This window comes from Homo sapiens, chromosome 1 (genome assembly GCF_000001405.40).
Source record: "Homo sapiens chromosome 1, GRCh38.p14 Primary Assembly".
NCBI classification, from domain to species: Eukaryota; Metazoa; Chordata; class Mammalia; order Primates; family Hominidae; genus Homo; species Homo sapiens.
This window is the reverse complement of record NC_000001.11, coordinates 172,112,451-172,135,214: the sequence shown is the minus strand read 5'-3', so window position 1 is coordinate 172,135,214 and position 22,764 is coordinate 172,112,451. Positions and strand designations below refer to the sequence as shown.

The window sequence follows — 22,764 nt, the reverse complement described above, 5'->3', positions numbered from 1 at the left end:
CTGCAACTCTTAGCATGTGTGATGAGTTGTTCATGTCAATTTTCACCTTCCAAAAACATCTCTTAAATCCGTTCATTTTTATCAAATTCCAACAACTCATCCCAGCCCAAGCTACCATTATCTATGCAGACCACAATAGATGTAGAAAGCAATAGCTTTCTAGTAACTCCCCAGTCCAGTTTCGCCCTCTTCCAATCCATTCTCCACAAGGCAACCAAAGGAATCAGTAAAGAATTCAAATCTTATCATGTGACTCTCCAGCTTAAAAAACTTCTCATCATTCTTAATATCAAAATCCTCATCTTTAGAGTGCCTTTCTCTTTTTGCTCCAGTCACACTGGACTTAATTACCCTCCTTAAATTCATCAGGCTCAATCCTGCCTCAGAACATTAACACAAACCTTCTCTGACCATCCAATGTAAAGTACCCCCTACCTGTGTCCTCTATCCCAGACACTCTATGTCAACTCATCACTGGCTTTATTTTCTTCCTAGCCTGTAATCAGCATCTGCTAGGTTTTCCTATTTATTTGTATGTTTGCTTTATTGGGAAAGAGCCTTCATAAGAATAGGTACCATGAATTCCTTGCTAATCATTTTATCCTTAGTGATTAGGACAGTGCCTGGTACATAACAAGTGTTCAGAAAGTAATTGTTGGGAAATGTTCAGATGATTAAGAGCACAGCACTGACACTTAGCACCTGGCTAAGTTACTCACTCTCTTTTGAGCCTCAATTCTTTATCTCTAAAATGGAGAATGTAAATAATGTGCTCAGTGAACTATAAATACTCAATAACTATTAGCCATTATGGTGATGATCCTCCTCATTAAGATCATCATTGAGTTTGAGTTGTGGTTGCAAGTAGCATTCCCCCTAGTCATTATACCTGCTTAAATTCACGAAGGCCAGCTTTCAGTCTCAATGATGATCTTAATGATGAGAACTTCCTGTCTTGTTTCTTGAGAGTTCTGAATGAGTAACAGAAGCTAGTGACTCAATCATAGCTGTGTGTAGCCCATAATTTTGCTACCTTGAACTTAAGTGCTCCGCACCCTCACCACCAGCTACTACCCAGCCACCATCCTCTCTTGCCTGGACCATGGTCAGAGTTTCCAATCTGGTCTCCCTTCTTCCATGCTAGCCATCCCCGCTCCCTTCACGCATCCACCCCATACCACTTATTATGCACAATCCAGCAGCCAGGGCAATCTTTCTAAACCATCAATCCAATCATGTCACAACCTGTTGGAACACTCCAATCATTTTCAGTTATCCTTGTAATAAAATCCAAACCATTGGGTAGGGACTGATAAGGCCCCCATCTACTGGTACCTCTGATTTTATCTCCTTTCTCCCCCACTGTTCCTATGTTACAGCCACAGACTTCCTGTTGGATCCCATCTCCAGGGTTTTTATACTTACTGTTCCCTCTACCTGGAATATTCTTCAGCAAAATCTTCTGCACAGCTCATCATCTCAGTCTCTGCTCAAGTGGTACTTCCTTCCAATCACCCAAATCTAAAGACCCCTCCCCTATCACTTTCTAACTCAATGCCCCATTTTATTTTCTTCAGAGCATTTACTATCTGACATTTATTACTAGTCTATTTGCTTGTTAGCTCCATAGAACAGTAACTTTGTCATTTCCTCTTTTTTAAAATGATCTAAATGGATGAAACTACCCTTTCCTAGAATTTCTTCATCTAAATAATTCCATTTATTTCAAGGGTCATTTCCACTCTCACCTGCCCCCAACTACCCTCCATACCATACCTTGGTTATACACAGCACACAGAGCGGGAGTATTCATGGCACTTGGTTAATATTATAACTGTGCATATTTATTTTCCATTTGTTGTAATCAAGTACTCATAAGGAAGCTACAAGGGCAGTGATTTTGTAAAGAATTATCCTGAGTCTGGAGGAGAGGAGATGAGCCAATAACCAAGAGCTCACCAAGCCTTCAAAGCTTCTTCCTTCCCTACAGAGAGCATCCTATACCTTCCAATGGGCTTATTTTCAGGACTCACAGAGCCAGACTAATGCCACACTCCAACAGCAGTAGCTACTCCAGAGTCTTCAGTGTCTCTGCTGCTAACACCCAGGAACATGTCAATGCTGAGATGCCTGGAATTCATCTTCATAAGTCCTCTGTGGGATGAGGTTGGCTTGGACAACTCCAGGCATCTCTGGGATTCTTGCCTTTATTTGTGGTTGAAAGCATAGGCTCTGGAGCTCAACAGCCTGGGTTCAAATTTCTGCTTTGCCACCAACTAGCTGTGTGACTTTGGTAAGTTGGTTATCCTCGCCAAGACTAAATGTTCTGCAATAAGGAAAATAGTCCTGTAGAAAAGACTTTTTTAAAAAAAGGTTTTGTTTTATTTTTAGTTTTCTCATCAACAATAGGGATAGTAGTAGTTAAGGCTGAATATGGTTAAATGAGTTAATTAATACATATAAAACACTAGCCATCACTGTTATGATTCCTTAGTAAAATATTTTCTGCGGCCTTGTATAACTGAGAAAGGTCCCAAGGTTTACACGTATTTAAATGCACATAAATTATCATCTAAATCCTTGGAGGGAAAATATATCTAATAGAAATACCTTATTACAACTGAACAGCAAAGAAGATCATCTATTTAGTGATTTTTACATCTAGGGAAGTGTCTCTGAGCTCCTCAAACTATGTTAAAACTAGAGCTTCCCACAGAATGACAGAGATAGCTAAGCAGCCAGCACAGGAAAGAAACCACTGCTAACCCTCATACTATCACAGTGACCAAATCTACTTTTGACTATGGTCAATGACATAAAAATTTAAATACATTTCTATAGGATTTCATTTCCCTTATTGCAGAAAGTTTAGTGGCAATCAACCAATTATCCAATATTTTTCAACACACTATTACACACAGATCTCCTGAGAAATGAAAAGTGCTATATAAGACATGAAACTTTTCCTCCAAGGAATGACAAAGGCACCCGGTAATGCTTTCAAAAGATGTCAGGCCAAGATAGGAAAAACTTTTAACTTTGAACACATGCCCTTCGTGGCCACATGAAATTGAGAATCTCACCTGTACATAGTTTTGCTATCACAGAGTATCCTTATCTAATGTTTGCATGCCGCATTATAAGTACCAAAAGATTATCAGGTCAGACCAGGGCTATTAAAAATTTCAAGACATAGTTTAATTTCTATCTGTGCTCCCTCACATTTTAATGGTATCGATTTCTAGCACTTAAATGGTTCTGTAAGACTAATATAAGTTTTTTGTTTGCACTTTTATAGCTATCAAATTTAAATGAGTAGTAAGTCACAGGACCAAAATTATTAACATCTAACATGAACCAGAACACTATAATTACCATAATTCATGCTTTTACATAGATATCAAATTCTCAAAGAACAAAATTTGTATAAACAATGATCTGAGACTCACTTGAAGACTAGCGATGTGGACGTTCTTAAAAGCCTTTCATTTGAGACAGATGTCACAGGAACAATTCCAACATGCTTTATTAACTGTGCATCAATATTATTAATTTCACTCTTAAAATGTTCTATTACCTTGGGTCCTTCAACACTTTCTTTAACGAAAATTGTTTTCACTTTACCAGTACATTGACATGATTATAAAGAAGGAGGTTTTCAACTTTGATGCCTACCTCCATTTCTTCAGGTAAGCAAACATATGGTTACAGCAAAGAAATAAACAAAAAGAAAAAGAAATTTGGGCGAATATTGTAAACTTTAAAATCTATAAGAAAATAATAGTGCCTTTTTAAACAAACATTCCAAGCTTAATCTCACTGAAAGAGAACCACTGGTGTCTCAAAATTGCATAGTATAATAATATCAGTTAATTTAAAATGAGAAATACTTTAACAAGAAAACTTTATCACTCTCTGTGACTTACCTCATCATCTTTATACCAGGACAAGCTTTCCGCAGTAAGGACGAACCAGTATCCCTTCGAGCCGCCTTTCATGATGCCAATGTTGCTGATGGTGAGCCACCCCTTGCGAATCACCTACGAAAAAGCAGAAATCAGCAGAGGTGTTTAGTTTAACAAAAGCCACTGGAGATTAGATGTCTTGGACTAAGAAGTTAAAAACAAGATATTAATTGCAATAAAAATAGTATTTTCCCTCCAAACTCAACTTCCATTGAGTTATTCAAGAGAATTTATCTTCCAAAAGTGCAGATGAGTGAAGGGAAGTCTCTCCTGTCAATGAATGGAATAAAAATCTCAGACTCATCGATGGTTGAAGTGGAGTGACTGAAACAAGAATGAAGTGAGGCAAACTAATAGACTGTGTCAGGCCTACTTATGGCATTGTTGCTACAATTAAAACATATTTAGTTGACTGGATGAACAATAGACTCTCCATATCCACTGTCCCTTCCCCACTTCCAGCCTACTGGCCCATTTGTTTGCCTAGTTTGCAGCCCATTAGGATTTCCACCAGAGACCTGCCAGCAAATGACGAAAAGAAGAAACTCAATTCAATCAGTTAGCCCCTTGTTAGTCCTAAATAAGGCTGACTGAAGGAGAAAGATAAAATAATAAACTAAAATGAAAAGTTTGGAGTTTTTAATAGTCTTAATTTATAATTTGAACAGCATATTGTAAAATTTTAAACCTATGAAGTTTAAATCTTCTGGTTGTTCTCTACCATATTACAAAACATGTAGCATCTTCATAAAATTTTTTAAACAGGTTTTAAGTTTTAAAATATTAACAACTTGGATTATAGATTTAACAGAAATTATTTATAGATAAGTATTTATATAATTTAAGGAAAAATGTGAGGTTTTTTTCCCCTCAGAGTTATTGTGAAGTTAAATTCTGTTATCCAGAGGGCATCATTTACCATGTCCTCTATACAAGATAATTTTGTTGTCACAGAACTAGAAATGAAATGCTAAATGCAATTGGATGATATTGTTCTAAGGTCAAAAACTGTCCTACACTGAAATTCCTCAATATGTTGACATCCTGAAATGTTTAAAAATTACTTATTGAAAAACTAATGAATGTAAGTTACTAAAGGAAGATGAAAATACCCTAATAATCAGATTTCATTTTTATATTGCTATTAACTTTTCTAGTTGAAGAAGGAAGGCCAATCCCAGAGAAAATTATGGAATAGACCACGGTTCTCATCACTGTCTTCCAAGCCTCTCTCCATATTTCCAGCCCCTGTCACCCTTGATTCCCTGTTTCAGCATTGCCTTGGTGCCCAATTTCCATTTCAGTGTGCTGTTGCTTTTATAACCCCCATTTAGCATCCCTCTCCAGTCTGGGCTAATGCACTTTTCTCCACGGCTTTTTAACTCTCTACTTCACAAAGAACAGACTAATACTCAAAGTATAGTGATAGTATAGTATAGTGATATAGTTTAGCTATGTCCCCACCCAAATCTCATCTTAACTTTTAACTCCCACAATTCCCATGTGTCATGGGAGGAAACTGGTGGGAGGTAACTGAATTATGGGGGAAGATCTTTCCTGCACTGTTCTCGTGATAGTAAATGAGTCTCACAAGACCTGATGGAATAAAAATGGAAGTTTCCCTGCACAAGCTCTCTTTTTGTCTGCTGCCATCCATGTAAGACGTGACTTGTCTCTCTTTGCCTTCCACCATGATTGTGAGGCCTCCCCAGCCATGTGGAACTGTAAGTCCATTAAACCTCTTTTTCTTTTTCTTCCCAGTCTCGGGTATGTCTTTATCAGCAGCATGAAGACAGACTAATACAGTATGGTTTCTACCAGTTATATTACAATCATTCAAATGCTTTATAAAAATACAGATTCCTGGGCCACCTACCATTCCAAATGAATGAGAATGTATATATATGAAACCCAAAAATCTACATTTAAATATGTTGCCAAGGTGATTCTTATTCACAATGAAGCTTGAAGCCCGTGCATGCACACATACAATCAAACTTTATTTTCCATAGAGTAAATGATCACATCTATTTAATAGTTTTGAGTAAGAAGGAGCTGGTTAAATTATTTCACACTAAGACCATTACCCACCCTACCAGGGCTTACAAGTAGCATGCTAATCATACCACTCAATGAAAATATACTAGTTATTTCATTGTATCAGAGATGCAGAGCAAGGGTGCTGGCATCAGTATGTATAATAAATAAATATTAAATATGAATCTGAGCTTTCTTATTTTCTCGTTAAAACTACGTATCAGTAGATATCTTACTATAGTACCTGCGTTTCAATGGATCTTGCATGCTCCCTGGAACAGAGAAACTAGGTTATAAAACCCATTGCAATAACCCAAGTGAAATATGGCCAGGATATGAATTAAAGCCATGATGTATAAAGTTAAAAGGAAATGAACCTACTGAAGAAATATCTAGGAGGTAAAATCAACAGGATTTATGAGTGAATGAGAGTGGGATTAGTGAGGGGGAAAGACAGAAGTAGGTGATAGTGTAGCCGGTAGCCACTAACCACATATGGTGGTTGAGCCCTATTGACTAGTTTCCATTAAGATGTGCCATAAGTGTTCAAATAAACACTGAATTTTGAAAACTTAATACAAAAAATAATGTAAAATATCTCATTAATTTAAAACAATTATTGCATGTCAAAATGTATTTTACATATATTGGGCTAAATAAAATTCATTGTAAAAATTAATTTCATGTTTCCTTTTGTTTTTTAATGTGGCTATCAGAAATTTTTTAATTACATATGTAGCTTACATTATATTTTTATTGAACTGTGTGCTGTTTTAGAATGATTCTGAAACTATCGCAGCTACCAACTTTTAAAACCAACCATTCTAAAATTCAGAAGGAATAGAGGAAAAAGACCCAGTTTGGGAAACTGGAGGAGTTGACAAATTCAGCAAAGGCTATGCTGACTTTGAGGTAGCTGTAGGAAACACAGATGGAGTGTGATCTGACCTCTGAAGCAAAAGGAAGAGATTAGGATGGAGGTATAGACTTGCAAGTCCTCAGCACAAACACTGGTAGCGGTAAAACTCCAAGCAAAATAGCAGTGGTTCAAGATGGAATCCTCGGGGAAATATCAACATTTCAGAGGTAGTCACAAGAGTCTGTAAAGGAATGTCAGAGAAACAAAAGCAATAAGATCATGGAAGCCAAAGCCAAGGTGAATTTCAAGGAGTATGAGGTTGGAAGTGTCAAATTCAGCAAGAAAGGGATATGACAGTACAATGCAGACATCACAGTGTCTTTAGCTATGCCAGTGTGGTGGTGGGACAAGGAGTCAGAGTTCTTTGGGTCGAAAAGTGAATGGGAAACAAAAAATGGAGACAGTGACTGGGGAGAGCTCTTCCCAGAGGAAGACAGTTAAAACCAGAATAGGTCACAGGGTCAAAGGAGGTGATGGTAGTGATAGCTGTTTTGTTTTAGGTTTCTTTCTTTCTCTCTTTCCTTTCTTTCTTTCTTTAGCATGGGCAACAATTGAGCATGTTTATTGATTCATAATTAGTAGAGAGGGCCGAGCACGGTGCTGACACCTGTAATCCTAGCACTTTGGGAGGCTGAGGTGGGTGTATCACGAGGTCAGGGGATCGAGACCATCCTGGATAACATGGTGAAACCCTATCTCTACAAAAAATACAAAAAATTAGCCCAGCATGCTGGCGGGTGCCTGTAGTCCCAAGCTACTTGGGAGGCTGAGGTAGGAGAATCACTCGAACACAGGAGGCAGAGGTTGCAGTGAGCCAAGATCGCACCACTGTACTCCCGCCTGGGCAACAGAGAGAGACTCTGCCTCAATAATAATAATAATAATAATAATAATAATAATAATAATAAGTAGAGAGTAAGAGATTGGCGATACAATAAAGAGGATACAAGGACAAAGATAGGAGTGGATAACATGAACAGCAAAGAGAAGGGTCTAGCCTTGAATAGGAATAAAGCTGCCTCATCTTGTGAGGCCGGGGAGGTTGAGAGAGTAAGGGTGGACGTAAGTCCTTCGTGAGGAGCAGAGTAGGAAGTTTAGGAAGGTTATATTTGATCTTGCCATTTCTGTTGACAAAGCAGACAAAATTATCTGGGAGAGTGAGAGTATGAAGTTGGAAGGGAGGCTTGAAGGTAGTGATATTGAGGCAACCAGTAGTTGAGTGAGAGTGGGTACAACTAGAATTCATTTTCTTAAATGGCTGAAAGCTGAGAACAAAGAACAAACTTTCAGGGACACAATCAGCGTAATTGTGTTCTCTTTTCCAGCAGCACTTTGCACACGTGATGTAGAAAATAAGATGATAAATGGGAATTGATCCAGGGTTCTGAGTTTCTGAATCCGGGTGACCTAAGTACAGAAGTGTAACGATGTTGAAGGTTTTAGGCAAGAGAGTAATTCAGGTGATCATCCATTCAATCTAGGTCAAGCAGAGAAATAAGGTCAGGAGGTGCCACTGGAGAGGTAGAAAATGAGAAGATAAAAGGAATAAGAGTCCAATGAAGTCAAAAAAAAAAAGCAGGTACCGTGTAAACGAAGACAAGAATGGAGTTTTCAGAGTTTAAGCTGATGTGATGCTAAATAAATTGCCTGATCTTACTGGCACCATTAGATTCATTCCTCAAAGATGCACCACTATTTCTAGAAGCATTTAATGTAGCTGAAAAGGATATTTATTAAACATCATTTAGTCCAGTGGATTTAGTCAACTGAGCTACAGGACAATTATTTTGCTAATTTTAATTTAAAAATTTAAAAATTTTACTAATAACAGTTAAAATTTTCAAAGAATGGACATACAAATAATTAGAATATATTTAAGATTATCCCTATGACATTATATCACTTGCAATGCAATATGCTTTCTAATTTGAAGGGAAAAAGAAGATTACAGCTGCCATGTTGTGAAGAAACATGACCCACATCTCTTACCAGTTACCCATGGAAGTGAGTTCAGCACTGGATGTTGTCAGCAATTAAGCTGCCATCATAAAAAGGTTAAGAAGCAGTAGTCCAATCCCAGCCCTTTCTTTTACAATAAAGGAAGCACATTTTTCACAAATGGACTTGTTTTTCTGATAACAATCAGCTCAAAATAGGATTTTAGAAAGAACAATTCCTAATGTACTTTTCACTAAGGAATTGAGGGAAAGAAGCTGCAAAATCAAAGTAAAACAGTGGAATGAGATAAGAAAAGGCAGACATTCAGGAAAAATGGTCAGACCACAAGGAGTAAGACCAATAAGGGGAAATTAATAAAAAGAAAAGAAAAAGGAAAGTAAGTGGGAACAGAAGTCAAAGACTAAATAAAATTTGAAAAGAATGCCAAGACAAATAGGATTAGTGGTAGAAGCCCTTCACAGAGAAAGAGAAAATATAAAATGTTAATTTTATATTCAAATTTAAAACTGCCAAAATAAATCTATTAATGTCCACTACAACAGCCACTTACATCTTCTTAGTATTTGAATATCAAATTCTGTTTTGAGTATTCGAGTAAACAAGAACAAGCAAACCCATAATTACATGACTAGAAAGGACCTTGAGAGCTAAAAGGGCATGTTCTCATTTGTTCAGCAGGAGACAAACTGTTTTTTTTAAATTTATTGCCCATAAATATCACCCAAGCTTCTTTTGCCAAATAGGAAAACTTTGAAAGCAACTGCAAGACCAGCAATGGGAAGAGTGGAACAGCCCAGCCTCTTCTCTTGGTGATTAGCCTACCCTAAGAGAATATGTGTTCTGTTAGTTTCCTCCATGCTATGAGAAAACAGATTTTGTCAAGGTCAGCAAAACCTGTATGTTACGGGTAAGTTCAGACCCCAACATCTGGCTGACATACTGGATCATAAAATCAATACAGAGACAAGGAATAAAATCATGGGAAGACAAAAGTACATGTGGAAGACTTCTAGTGTGGCCAAGGTCTTGAACCCTGTGAGCAGGGGGTTTGACCTTGATCTCACTTATGGTCGACCATGCAAGTTTTTTTCAGCTATGCAGCTGTCTTTTTTTTTAACTGCTGCAGCCTAGATAAAGGTTATAATCCATGCACCGTTAGATAGTTTGATCTTGGTAGATTACAAAAGCTTATAACTAGGCTTTCTCAGTAGATAAGCAGCTGCTTCTATAAAGGTAGTTCACATACCTTGGAGCCTACCTGGCCAAATGCTGGGGAGCTGCATGGGCTCCTCGAAGGCAATGGACAGTCCAGTCACCCAGTTGGTTAGGAAAGATCTACCTTTGCGAGCACAGGCATCCTCAGGATACAGGTTACTTGTCCTTGAATTTGGCTAGCAGACTCGTTTCTAAGGCATGCCTGAGACAGGGATTTAACTATAGGGAAAAGAGTCTTCCCATTTACAGGCCTGGCAGGCCTCGAGAGGTGAACTAGATTTCCTAATTTTATACTATAAGGTAGCTGAGGTCTGTACATACCACAATGCACTCTATAGGTTCTAGTATTAACCTGTCAGAGCCAGGCCTAGGAAGGAAGGGTTAGATCAGCTGCCATCAGTGCCATTCCGTGCTCTGGGCCAGGGCAAGAAGGGAACTGTGGAGAGCTAACCTTAACTGGTGTGGCTTATTTACAGACTTAAGGGTCTCTCCCACCCCACTCACTCTTCTCCTAAGCACATGCTTTCCAGCTGGCTCTGGATTAATGAGATAGAGGGGAGAATGTCTCCTCAGGAAGCCTAGGCTTCTTAGACCAGTAAATTTTGTAACAGGAGGCAGGAGGAGAAATGCAAAGGAAAAAGGAAAGTAAAAATTAGGAGGTTTTGAATATGCTGTATGGAAAAGGAAGGCAACTAAAAAATATCCTGGTGGGTAACTGGAGCTGTGGTCCCTGCAAATTCCTGAATTTTGCAATAGACGGCCATGTTTCAAGTGTCCTTCTCCAAGAGTATGCACATAGATGGCTTTCCCCCTTGACGGTAAATGCATGGTGGCAAAGCTAACTTCTTAAAAACACCTTTGGGAATGTAATTCTTGAACTTTTGTATCTAGGAACTTCACAGTAGGAGAGGATTCATATTCACATTGAGGAGGGGGCTCACAAAATTCCCATGTCTAGTTTGTTGATATTTTATTATTAATGTATATTATTTCATTTGATCATTGCAGAATTTCTGATAAGCTATAGAAACAGCATGTCTGAACATAATTTGAAACAAGAAATAAGGAGCAAACGTGTAACCTTGTACATAGGCTGGCCTTGAAGTGGACTCTACAAATGCACTGCTTTGACCCCTCTCAGAACTTTCTGTCCACTAGTGGTGCTAAGAGGATGCCCATAGGAGCCATGATTAGCTTTGGGGGAGTGATATCAAGAAGGTAGAAGCAGAACTGATAGAGCTTTGACTTCTTACCTCAAAGAGGGATAGCCACAGCCCTGGTTGGCCACCAGAATAAGGATTAAACTCAATGGAATAAAAGGTGGGAGAAGATGGAGCAATACCGCTGAGGGTTGAGGAATGGAGAGGCACTCTTGTTGTTTCCTCACTCAGTCCTCCCCAGGAGGAGTAAAGTGACTTCTCACATTGATCTGGATGGACAAAAAGGGAAGTGTAGTCCTGGGCCTATCTTTCTGCCATTCTTGCCCCCATTCATCAAGGGAACTCGCCTGCCCACAGAGGGTGTATGCTCTAACAGTGGAAGGAAGGGGGTCATGCCTGCAGTTTTCAGGGACAAGTTCAATTCAGGAAAGTGTTCAAAAGTCTCTCTCACCTAAGACACTTATCAGTCAGTCATCCAGTATTTCCTGAATGCCTATGATGGATCAGGTACTGTGCCAGGTGCCCTGGCCCCAGAAACACAAGTGAGGGCCACCACAAATATGCCCAGGTGTGACTTGTAAGTGGCCAGCTATATGGTAGAAAATAGATTTTCACATCTGATGAACTAATGCTATGACAGAGATAAAGAAGTTGTGAAAACAAGAAAATAAGATGAAGTATATATGAAGGGATTTAAAGAATAGTGAAATTGAGACACAAAATAATCAAATATTTGATGAAAGATTGTTTTTCTTTGTTTTCAAGACTCTACAAGACTCTACAAAATCAATTGTTACTAATACGAATGAATTGGCTAAGTGACTTTTTTACATTTGGATGTTACTTCCTGGTTTTAACCTTCTAGGAAATGAGAGTTTCCTAAGTATCTAAAATAGGCAAAGAATATAATAATTTGACTCCATTTTTAGAAATTCAGGAATAGTAACAATGGCTAACATTTACTAAATATTACTCGGTGCCAAGCACTATGCTAAGAGCTTCACACACATTATTTCTTTTAATCCACATAATAATTCTGTGAGGGAAGGAACATTTTCCTCCCCGATAGGTGAGGAAAATGAGATTGTACTTCTATTTAACTGACAAATCCATGTTTGTAATAAACAGGTCTTCCTTGTAGGAGTTTCTGCACTGTTTGCCATTTTACTCCAATTTGCAGAGCACGCTTAGAGGATTCAGCAGTTGAATAAAATAAAACCTCTCTAGTGGACTGATTTCAGAGCCCCCACCCTTAACGCACACACATACAACGATGTTGGCTACAGTATGGCATCTAATGGCAAGCAATTGGAAGCAATCCATTTTCCTAACAGGAAACTGATTAACAGGTTGTGGCATAATCCTCTGATGTTAAATTAAGCTAAACAAAAATGCCTAGTACATGATGTGGGAAAAATATTTTTGCCAGGGTGTGCTAATAGTGGGCAGGACCCTAGAGTCAGACTACCTGGGATTGGCTCCTGGTTTCAATAGTTGCTGCCTGGGTGACATTGGGTCAGTTAAAAGGAACAAACTCCCTTTGCTTCAATTTCTTCATAGGTAACATGGAATAATAATAATACCTATAATGTAGAGTTGTTATGAGAATCATATGAGTTAATATATGTAAAGGATTTAGATTAGTACCTATTAGTATTATATGTATGCTATTATTTCAGTTATATTTGTTATTGTAAGGACAGGGAAAAAATTGTAATATATATCAAAATGTTACCTATGATTGAAACTTGATGGTAAAACACAAAGTTCTATTTATTTCCTCCTTCCATTTCCCTGTATTTTTCCTATTTTCCTATAATACTCATGTGATTAAAAAAGTAAGTTGGCATCACATTATTGCTTGTTTAAAAGAGGCAATTTCTTGAGATTCCCTTTAATGTATAATGAACACAGCATGTTTGAAAAAACTGAAACAGATTATAAGCAACCTAGTAGTGAAATAACCTAACAGCACAACATAAAAAGAAAGCATTCTGAAGTAGTATATGGGAAATCACTGTGATGAAAGAAGCCTGACTGTTTTAAATAAGGAACTGACTGGATTGACTGAAAACATTAATAGTGTTCAATAAAAACTGATTGAAAATAAGGAACCAATATTTAATATTCATATCAAACCCCCACTTTTTAAAATACAGCTGCCAAAAAATTAATAACTTTCTGTTTCCCTGGTTCCTCTGTAAATCCCAACCCCTACCTAATAACACAGGCATAAGTTTAAATTGTAACCAACTAACAAAGATTTTATAAATTAAACAGAACTCCAAGTTACTGTTTCGCAGAAGAACTTCATCATGCAACTGAAGGAGTCCCTTTCTCACTTTTTTCTGGACTTCCCAAGTCTACAATGACTATGTCTACAGTGCCTTCATCATCGTCTACTCATTCTGCCCTGCAAAAGCACCAGAAACCTCTTCTCACTGAGCTTCGCTTCCAAAACATTAGCCCATGCTCACATAATGAGGGCATTTTTTATGCCTCTGTGGCTTACTAGGCTTCCGCACTATCTTGATTCTTAAAATTATTTCTAAAGATGTTTTTCTCTTCTTATTGCTTCCCAGAATTTGCTCAAATGCCTGCATATGCATTATTTCTGCCACATGTACAGTTATTTCTAAGAGTTCACTAAGAGTGAGCTGTTTATTCTCAGAGTTTACTCACCTAAACCACTATAAGATCCAGGCCATTAACCATGATGAAAATCAGGGCTCTAGTTTTTTTCACTTTTTTCCTGTGTATCTTTCCCATGTGCAGAGCTTCCTTTGAAGTTAATAGGCCCTCCATGTGGAAGGGATTCCAAATGATACAAAACAGAATGAGAACTAAGCCTGTCATCTATTTCTCACATTCAAGGACAAAAATATGCACACATGAGGAAAAAATACCTCATAATTATCAAGGCCTGAATAAAATGTGGATGTTTACTAAAAATAATCCAGAGAGCTTATTTAACAGAGGAAGAAAAAAAACACCTTAGTAAATATTTATTAACGATTTAATAGAAAGTTAGTGAGCACCTTAGAGGTGTCAGAGGGCACACTGGAAATACAAGAATAAACCAAGGAAACAGTAACACACACACACAAAGGCACAGTCCCCAACCTCCATGGAGCTTATAGACAAGTGAGAGAATAGGCACTAAACAAAGTCTCACACAGATAAATGTAAAGTTATAACTCTGGTTGGTGCTGCCAAGAAGTGGTTCCTTACATGAACAGTGCTCTCACCTGCACCGGGTATAAGAAAAGGCATACTTATAGTATTCAGCACTTGAGCTGAAATCTAAAGGATGTGTGGGGCAGGAGTGGGAGAGGGAGAGGCAAACTCAGTGTGGCCACTCTACCTAAAGCAAGAGTGAGCCTCCTACCAGGCGTGCCTGGAGGAGCAAACAACACTTAGTCATGTAATTTATGTGAAGAAATTTGGTCCTTATCCTGAGAGAAATGGGAAGGCTTTCAAGTGTTTAAAGTAGGGTAACAATATGAGATTTTGACATGGTTTGGCTCTGTCCCCATGCAAATTTCATCTTGAATTGTAGCTCCCATAATTCCCACATGTCATGGGAGAGACTCAGTGGGAGGTAATTGAATCATGAGGGGTGGGTCTTTCCCATGCTGTTCTCCTGATAGTGAATAAGTCTCATGAGATCTGATGGTTTTATAAAGGGGAGGTCCCCTACACATGCTCTCTCTTGCCTGCCACCATGTGACTTTGAACCTCATTTGCCTTCTATCATGATTGTGAAGGCCTCCCCAGCCACGTAGAACATGAGTCCATTAAACCTCTTTTTCTTTGTAATTTACCAAGTCTCAGGTATATCTTTATTAGCAGTGTGAGAACAGACTAATACATATTTGCACATGAAAAGTTCTCTTCTAGCTCTGGGTTGGTGAAGAGATTCGAGAGAGGAAAAAGGATACAGGGTGATTGATAGTTGACTATTGCAGAATCCGACATTAAAAATGATGATAACTTTGACCAAAGTTTTAGAAATGAACATATGGAGAAGTGGACAGATTTGAAGAATATTTAGGAAGAGAAGTTAGTATGACAATGATAAATTGGATATGGAAGATGGGAGAGAAAGGGGTGTCGAAGATGACTCCCGAGGTCTACGTTTAAGAAACTAAACAGACTGTTGAGGCACATTCATGGACAGAGAGTAGGAGGACTATGTTTAGGGAGTGGAGGAGTCATAAGTTCAGTCTGGACATGTCAAGATGTGAACATGTGAAATAGATCATTGGCTGTAAAGATGTCTGGATCAGATGTGCAAATTTGTGAATTGTTGTTTGCAGGTGTAAATAAAACTGTGGGTGTGAAAAAAATGACTTAAAATGAGCATTTGGGTGAGAAGAGAAGAGGGCCCAGGACTGAGCGCTGAGGAAAGCCAACGTGCAATGTCTGGGAGGAGAGGATGGACCCATGAAGGAAACCGAGGCGGGGCTAGAAGAGAGAGAGAACAGAGAATACTACAAAAATGAATGAAAGAGAATGTCTCAATAAGGCGAAAGGATTGAAAGGTCAAACGTAAAGGTGAAAAGATTGAAAGGTCAAAGGTCAAATGCCACTGTAAGGTCAAACGTAAAATTTTTTTCACTGGTTTTAAGGTTACTGAAGAGAGAATATTAAAAATATTTAACAACTGGCCAGGTGTGGTGGCTCACACCTGTAATCCTAGCACTTTGGGAGACTGAGGCGGGCGGACCACCTGAAGTCAGGAGTTCGAGACCAGCCTCACCAATATGGATAAACCCCATCTCTACTAAAAATACAAAATTAACTGGGTGTGGTGGTGCATGCCTGTAATCCCAGCTACTCAGGAGGCTGAGGCAGAAGAATCGCTTGAACCCGGGAGGCGGAGGTTGTGGTGAGCCAAGATTGCTCCATTGTACTCCAGCCTGGGCAACAAGAGTGAAACTCTGTCTCAAAAAAAAAAAAAAAAATTAACAACTAGTATGACATCAGCCTGACCAATCCCCAAAGGTGATGGGGTCACAGTGCTAAAGCAGGGTACCAAAGGCTCCCTTCTGTGCCAGGCCTTTGTCTTTAATCTCTGGACAGAGGGGAGGATTGAGGGACTCAGAGAGGAGCTTCAGCATCTCTGATGAGAGATGGGCACTTGCAGGAGCAGCCAGCTGTGACTGGTTTGAAAGCATTAAATATGAGAAAAACCACTCTGGCTCTCCTGATGCCTGCTGGCTGGGAAACGTCACTAAGAGTTGTTGCTGTGGCTTGATGGAGATGGGGAGCTCGAGAGTGGAACGGGTGGGTGACAGAGGTGAAATTTTCCCATGTAAGTCTGATTTCATATGGTGAATCAATACTTTCTCAGCATCTTCCAGATGCAGAAAAAAAAAATCTTCCAAAATTGCAAAAGAAGAAAAAACAAAACAAAACAAGAATTGGCCAATGAAGAAAACATATCAAACAGAGAATCAGTTTTAAAAGACTTCCTGGAAATTTTGATCCCTAAAGGGAAGCAACAAGATGTGCTATCATTCAATCATTCAAATTAAAGCTATAGAGCAATTTGTCAATGTCAAGTAATGAGAATGGCTGACAAATTTTAAGGTTTTGGGTTCCTAAGACATTCTAGAAAAATTTATTTACCCTATCATACCTCTGAAAAAGAGTACCAATAGTATTACTAAGGAGATGCTCACACACTCAGGTATTAAATAAGTGTTAGTAGCCAATCCTTCATAGAGAACCCACTACCATAAATACTAATGTTCTAGGGAAAAATGCATGCATGTATCTAATGTGGAATCCTAGTTTTAAATCTCTTCCAATGTGAAGGAATCAAGGACCTTCCTTCCTCACCTTTGATTGTTCTGTGGATTTTGGCAGTGCAGGATGTGAGGATATAGACACCATTAAGCACATAGCTGTGGGTAACTGGGGCTTTCACCTTGTGCAAACCACAAACATACTTTCCTGTCAGTTTGGTTAGCCCTGTGCACTTTAGTCTTGAGGTCCCGAGGAGTGGCTTACCAACTCCCCTGTTCAGTGCCACAATCTCTTATGTATGACCCAGTTGTCTTTCTTCTTACCAAGCAAGAGAACACACTTCACAACTTCTAACTTGCCCTTATGTATCACTACCTTTTTCAGTGCTTCTAAGGATTTACCTGCTAGTAATTACTAGGGGTCAAAATAAAAGAGCTCATTCCTAAAAACAACCTCTTTCTCCTCTCTCCACTTCCAATACAATTCAGCTTTCAGAGAAAGATTAAAGATGATACTTGTGGGACCCTGATTCACTATTAGTCCATTTTCACACTGCTGATAAAAACATACCTAAGACTAGGACGAAAAAGAGGTTTAAATGGACTTACAGTTCCACATGGCTGGGAAGGCCTCAGAATCATGGTGGGAGATGAAAGGCACTTCTTACACGGTGGCTGCGAGAAAAAAATGAGGAAGAAGCAAAAGCAGAAACCCCTGATAAACCCATCAGATTTTGAGAGACTTACTCACTATCATGAGAATAGGACGGGAAAGACTGGCCCCAATGATTCAATTACCTCCCCCTGGGTCCCTCCCACCACACGTGGGAATTCTGAGAGATACAATTCAGGGTGAGATTTGCATGGAGACACAGTCAAACCATATCAGTCACAAAGACTAAATATAAGAGCCATGCACATTTTAAAAAAAAATGCCGCCATTCTGGTATTCTAAAATAGAGAGAAGGCTTAGGCCTCAGTGAAGACTTTTTTTTTTTTTTGAGATGGAGTTTTGCTCTTGTTGCCCAGGCTGGAGTGCAATGGCATGATCTCAGCTCACCACAACCTCTGCCTCCTAGGTTCAAGCAATTCTCCTGTCTCAGCCTCCCAAGTAGCTGGGATTACAAGCATGCACCACCATGCCTGGCTAATTTTGTATTTTTAGTAGAGACAGGGTTTCTCCATGTTGGTTAGGCTGGTCTCAAACTCCCAACCTCAGGTGATCCGCCCACCTCAGCCTCCCAAAGTGATGGGAATACAAGCGGGAACCACCACGTCCGGCCCAGTGAAGACTTTTAAGTAACTGATGGGGTTGAGGCAGGGTTTCTCAAAGTACGTTCTAAGAAATGCTATTTAAGAGAGACATTCCATGAAAAAAGTTTTCATGACTAAAAAAGTTATGAAATTCCTGCAATACCATACGGTCTTCTCTCACGTACACAATGCACATTCTTCTATTAAAAATGCTGAGAAGTATCAAGATAAACACACCTTTTAACTTTGCTTACCAACTCCAAGTTTGACCACAAAGCCCTATTTTAATATCCCAAAGTGTTCCAGATGTACTTCCAAAAACAGTTGGTTCATAGAGCTGAGGTGGCTACCCTTGAGAATACAGGGTCCTCAGCTATGGGAGAAAGAAGGGAATCTCCATTGGAGCTTTGCTTCTCCTCTGCCTTTCCCTGTTCCCCCTCCCCAACACCACCTGTCCACTCCATGCTGGACTGGCTTTGGATTCGCACCAAATGTGGAATGTGAGAAAAGAATACTGGATAGGGACTGTCTCAGAAAACAACCAGGTCTACAGCAGTGCAAGGAAATAGGGGGATGATGAGTGCAGAAGTCAGTGAACAAGGGAAGCAAAGAGCAGGCATGTGAGAACCTCCTGTGGGGTCTCTTTAGAATGATCATATGTGTGTGAAAAAGACACATCCATCCAGACAGAATGCCATCCACAGGCAGCACAATACAAGAACAAGATAATGACACAAATTGAAAAAGGGGAAGATGCATGTAGGTATGCTTCTTCCTACAGCTTCTGATATACACAATCCAACAAGAAAGAACTGATATTTCATTAATATTATCAGAACACTATTTACATAGCAAGTGCTACCTTTTTAGAGCCAAAGATAAGCTGAGTCTAAATATTAGCCAGAGATAGAAGATCCATCCATCCATCCATCCGTTGAATAGATGGTTATTGAATACTTACTACGTTAATTGAGTACCTATTTTTTTTTTATTCTAGGCACTAGAACCTATATTCTCCAGTTGGGGTAGAGTTGTGGTTAGAGTTCAGCAATAGACAATAACCATATAATTATATATCTGGAGATGATAAATACTGTGAAAAAACGAAGCAATCTAAGTGAGATAATGCATGCTCTTGGTTTATGTTGGAGAGAAAATGATGTTTTTCACTTAATCAGGAAAGGCCTCTTCAATAAAATAACATTTCAGCAGAGACCTGAAGGAATTTAAAGAGCATGTGGATTGTGTTGGTGTAACAGGATGGAGGAGGGGAATGAATTCCGGGAAGAGGGAACAGTGAATAAGTACAAAAGTCCTGAGGCAGGAACACCAAGGAAGCCAATTGCCTGATCCCAGTGAGCGAGAGGGGGAGGAGCCTTAGGAACTTGGATCAGAGAGGCTGGAGGAGACGGATCCCATAGACCTTAACAGTCATTGGAGACCTTTAGATTTGATTCTCAGTAGGATGGAAATCACTAGAGGGTTTTGAACAGGGAAGTAATATGATCTCACTGTTTTAAAGAATGCTTTCTGGCTGCTGAGGGGAGAGACTCACAAGAGAAAGAGGAGAAGCAGGAGGGAGGCCAATAACCCAGGTGAGAGATGATGGAGCTTTGAGCAGGGTGGTGGTAATGGGCAGAGAGAGAAGTGGTCAGATTCCAGATGACAGGATTTGCTATTGGAAAGGAGATGTGGTATGAGAGGGGAAAAAAGGAATGAGAGCTCTCTGCAGGACTAGATGCCATGCCCTTGGAGGACAGGAATATTATCTAACACCTTTCTATCTCCAGCACCAAATATACAACCTGCACTTTTTTTGTTACTGTGGTGTGGACAGACTCCCAGACAATGAAAAGACTGTATGTTTCATATGGATACAAATGTAAGGTAAACAATCTGTTTCTTTCCTTGGTATATTCTCTTGAGAAGATGAAGATAATTTTGATGGGGATAATTTTAGTGTCATTTCTTAATCAAATATTTTCATCCTGCCAACAACATTTTTAACATCTTTATCATAGTTACTAGATAGTACATGGCATGAAGATTATAAAAGATAAAATTTTGGACTGACTTCAAGATGCCCGTAGCCTCACATGTGGCATAAAACTTATGCATACTGTAAAATAAGCAACACTCCTAAGGAGGTAGCAAGTCTCCAGGGTCATCTACACCCAGCTCCATCCCTCTAGAGCATGATCCTTAACCTCTCGGAGCCTCAATCTTCCCATCCATAAATGAGGATAGTAGTACCTACTGTTGGAGGACAAATGAGAATGCACAGAGCACTAAACAGTACTTGTAACCATTACTCCAGAATATAGCATTATATAAGTAAGTGTTAGTACAGGGAACAAAAGGCACAAGTGCATGGAAGAGGAAAGGATCTCATTCATTAGATAAATTGGGATACCTTATTTCCTTTGTACTCTTGCCAAATTGCTGGGTAGGGCAGGTACATAAGTATATAGAGTCTTAGAGATTCTGTAATGGAAGAACCTTTATGAAGAGTACGAAACAGGTAGAAGTGATCACCTACATCTCAATATCCACACTAAAAACAGAAAGTGTCTTAGAACACCCAGCCTAATCTCTTTCCACTCTTTGCCACATGTTTCAGCCGCACTGGCTATCTTTTGGTTTCTACAACATGCAAGTTCTTTCTAGTCCTTGCTGTACCTTCTGGCAAGACTCTACCTTCTGACCTTTGCATGGTTAGCCACGACTTGTCATGCAGAACTCACCTTATACCATCCCTCTTCAGAGAGGTTCTCCTATTACCTCTCTCCACACTGCCCCTCCATCTTCACTTTTCCTCATAGCAACCAATTTTAATTCTCTACACTGAAAATATGTACAATTTCTTCTTGCTCATTTGTCTTTTTGTTGTTCATTTTCTATCTTTTCCACCACTAAAATATAAGCTTCATGAGAGAGTGAGAACTTAATCTGTCTTATTTACCACCCCACCCCCAGAAGAGTGTCTGGCATCGATTCAATACATAGGAAATTAAATCAGGAAATAATGTCAAAATCCCTTTTCTAGGCAGTAGGCAGTATTATTTGCCTCTTTGCATCAGATTATTTAAGAAGAAAAGACACTCACAATAAATTTGTGATTGAGATTGGCCTATCAGGGAATTAAAATGTGATTGACAACACAAAAGGGATAACTCACAGCTGATGCCACACGATGCAGGATGTGCTGTAAAATTTTGTGTAAACGCTTTGGGCACTTTTGTCAAGACCAATTTTTGATGCCAGGAAAGTAAAAATTTACGTTAAGAAAACATGGACTTCCTGAGTTGTTTTTTTTTTTTTTTTTTTTTTTTGAGACAGAGTTTTGCTCTTGTTGCCCAGGCTGGAGTGCAATGGTGCAATCTCAGCTCACCGCAACCTCCGCCCCCCAGGTTCAAGTGATTCTCCTGCCTCAGCCTCCCAAGTAGCTGGGATTACAGGCACCCGCCACCAGGCCCGACTAATTTTTTTGTATTTCTAGTAGAGATGGGGTTTCACCATGTCGGCCAGGCTGATCTCGAACTCCGACTTCCTGAGTTTCTTTGAGTACATCTGTTCCTCAATTGTAAAAAAGTGGGGGAGTGGCAGAAAGAGCTAATAATAGTATATCCCCTTATAGAATTGTGGTGAAAATTAAATGAGGGAATCCATAGAACAGGGCCTCACACATAGCAGGAAGTTAAGGAATGTTAACGTTACCAAGATAAAATTTAAAATAACAGTGGTCATTCTTGGAGTTTATTTTCTGAATATAATTTTTTACTTCTTTCCAATTTGACTTTCTTATCTCATCAAGACAAATCTTTCACTAAGGAAACCCTATTTACCTTTAATCATCAAACTATACTTTCAGTAAATACCCCACATTCAGTAAATAAATAAGGCATTAATTATAACCCTGAGGACTACTTTAAACTGCTAACGTTATTAAATTAGAGGAGCCATGAGAACTACTGGTTAAGTTAAAGTTTACTGGTACAATTCTGAGAATTCAAAAGGACAACTTTATTAATTGCAATAATAAAAATGGTTGCTAACCCTTAATGAATATTTACTATAAGCAGTGTGCACTTTACATGGATGTCTCACTAATCTTCTCAACAACCCTATGAGATTCACACTGCTCTTCCTCTTTTATCTTTGAACACTGTGAGGCATAGAGCGACTCAACCTTATGATGTGAATGATTCAGCTTACAAGTGGCAAGTGGGGCCCCAAACTCATCTCAAGCTCCAGGCCTATGCTATTAAATTCTCCCCTCTGTTTTCAGGGATAAAAAGACAGATATCACTACAGATTTTTATCACTGGAAAAAAAGCAATTCCTTTGACATTCAGGAATTGGTTATGTTTTCAGGAATGGCACATACTGGAAAATGGAAAGACTGAAGAGGTTCAGGGCCAGGGTCACTGTGATGAAAGAATCACTCAGATTTAAGAGTCAAAAGAGTACCAATGAGTGGAAAGGGCCAAGACTTTGTAGTT

General features: G+C 39.1%; 1 protein-coding gene across 25 annotated transcripts in view; it reads right to left on the bottom strand.

Moving 5' to 3' along the window:
* DNM3 (dynamin 3) overlaps window positions 1-22,764 on the bottom strand; it is a 576,969-nt gene that overhangs the window by 283,252 nt on the left and 270,953 nt on the right. For 22 of the 25 annotated variants that reach the window (NR_146559.2, XM_017000979.2, NM_001350206.2 and 19 more), the window contains one exon: window positions 3,927-4,040. Coding sequence is in view for 24 of the 25 variants with exons in the window: in XM_017000979.2 (XP_016856468.1) it covers window positions 3,927-4,040 (114 nt within the window). In the remaining variant the exon portion in view is untranslated. Of the gene's footprint in view, window positions 1-1,822; window positions 2,327-3,925; window positions 4,041-22,764 lie in introns of those variants that run through there. The other 3 variants (NM_001350205.2, NM_001278252.2, XM_047417409.1) reach the window with 2 other exon arrangements.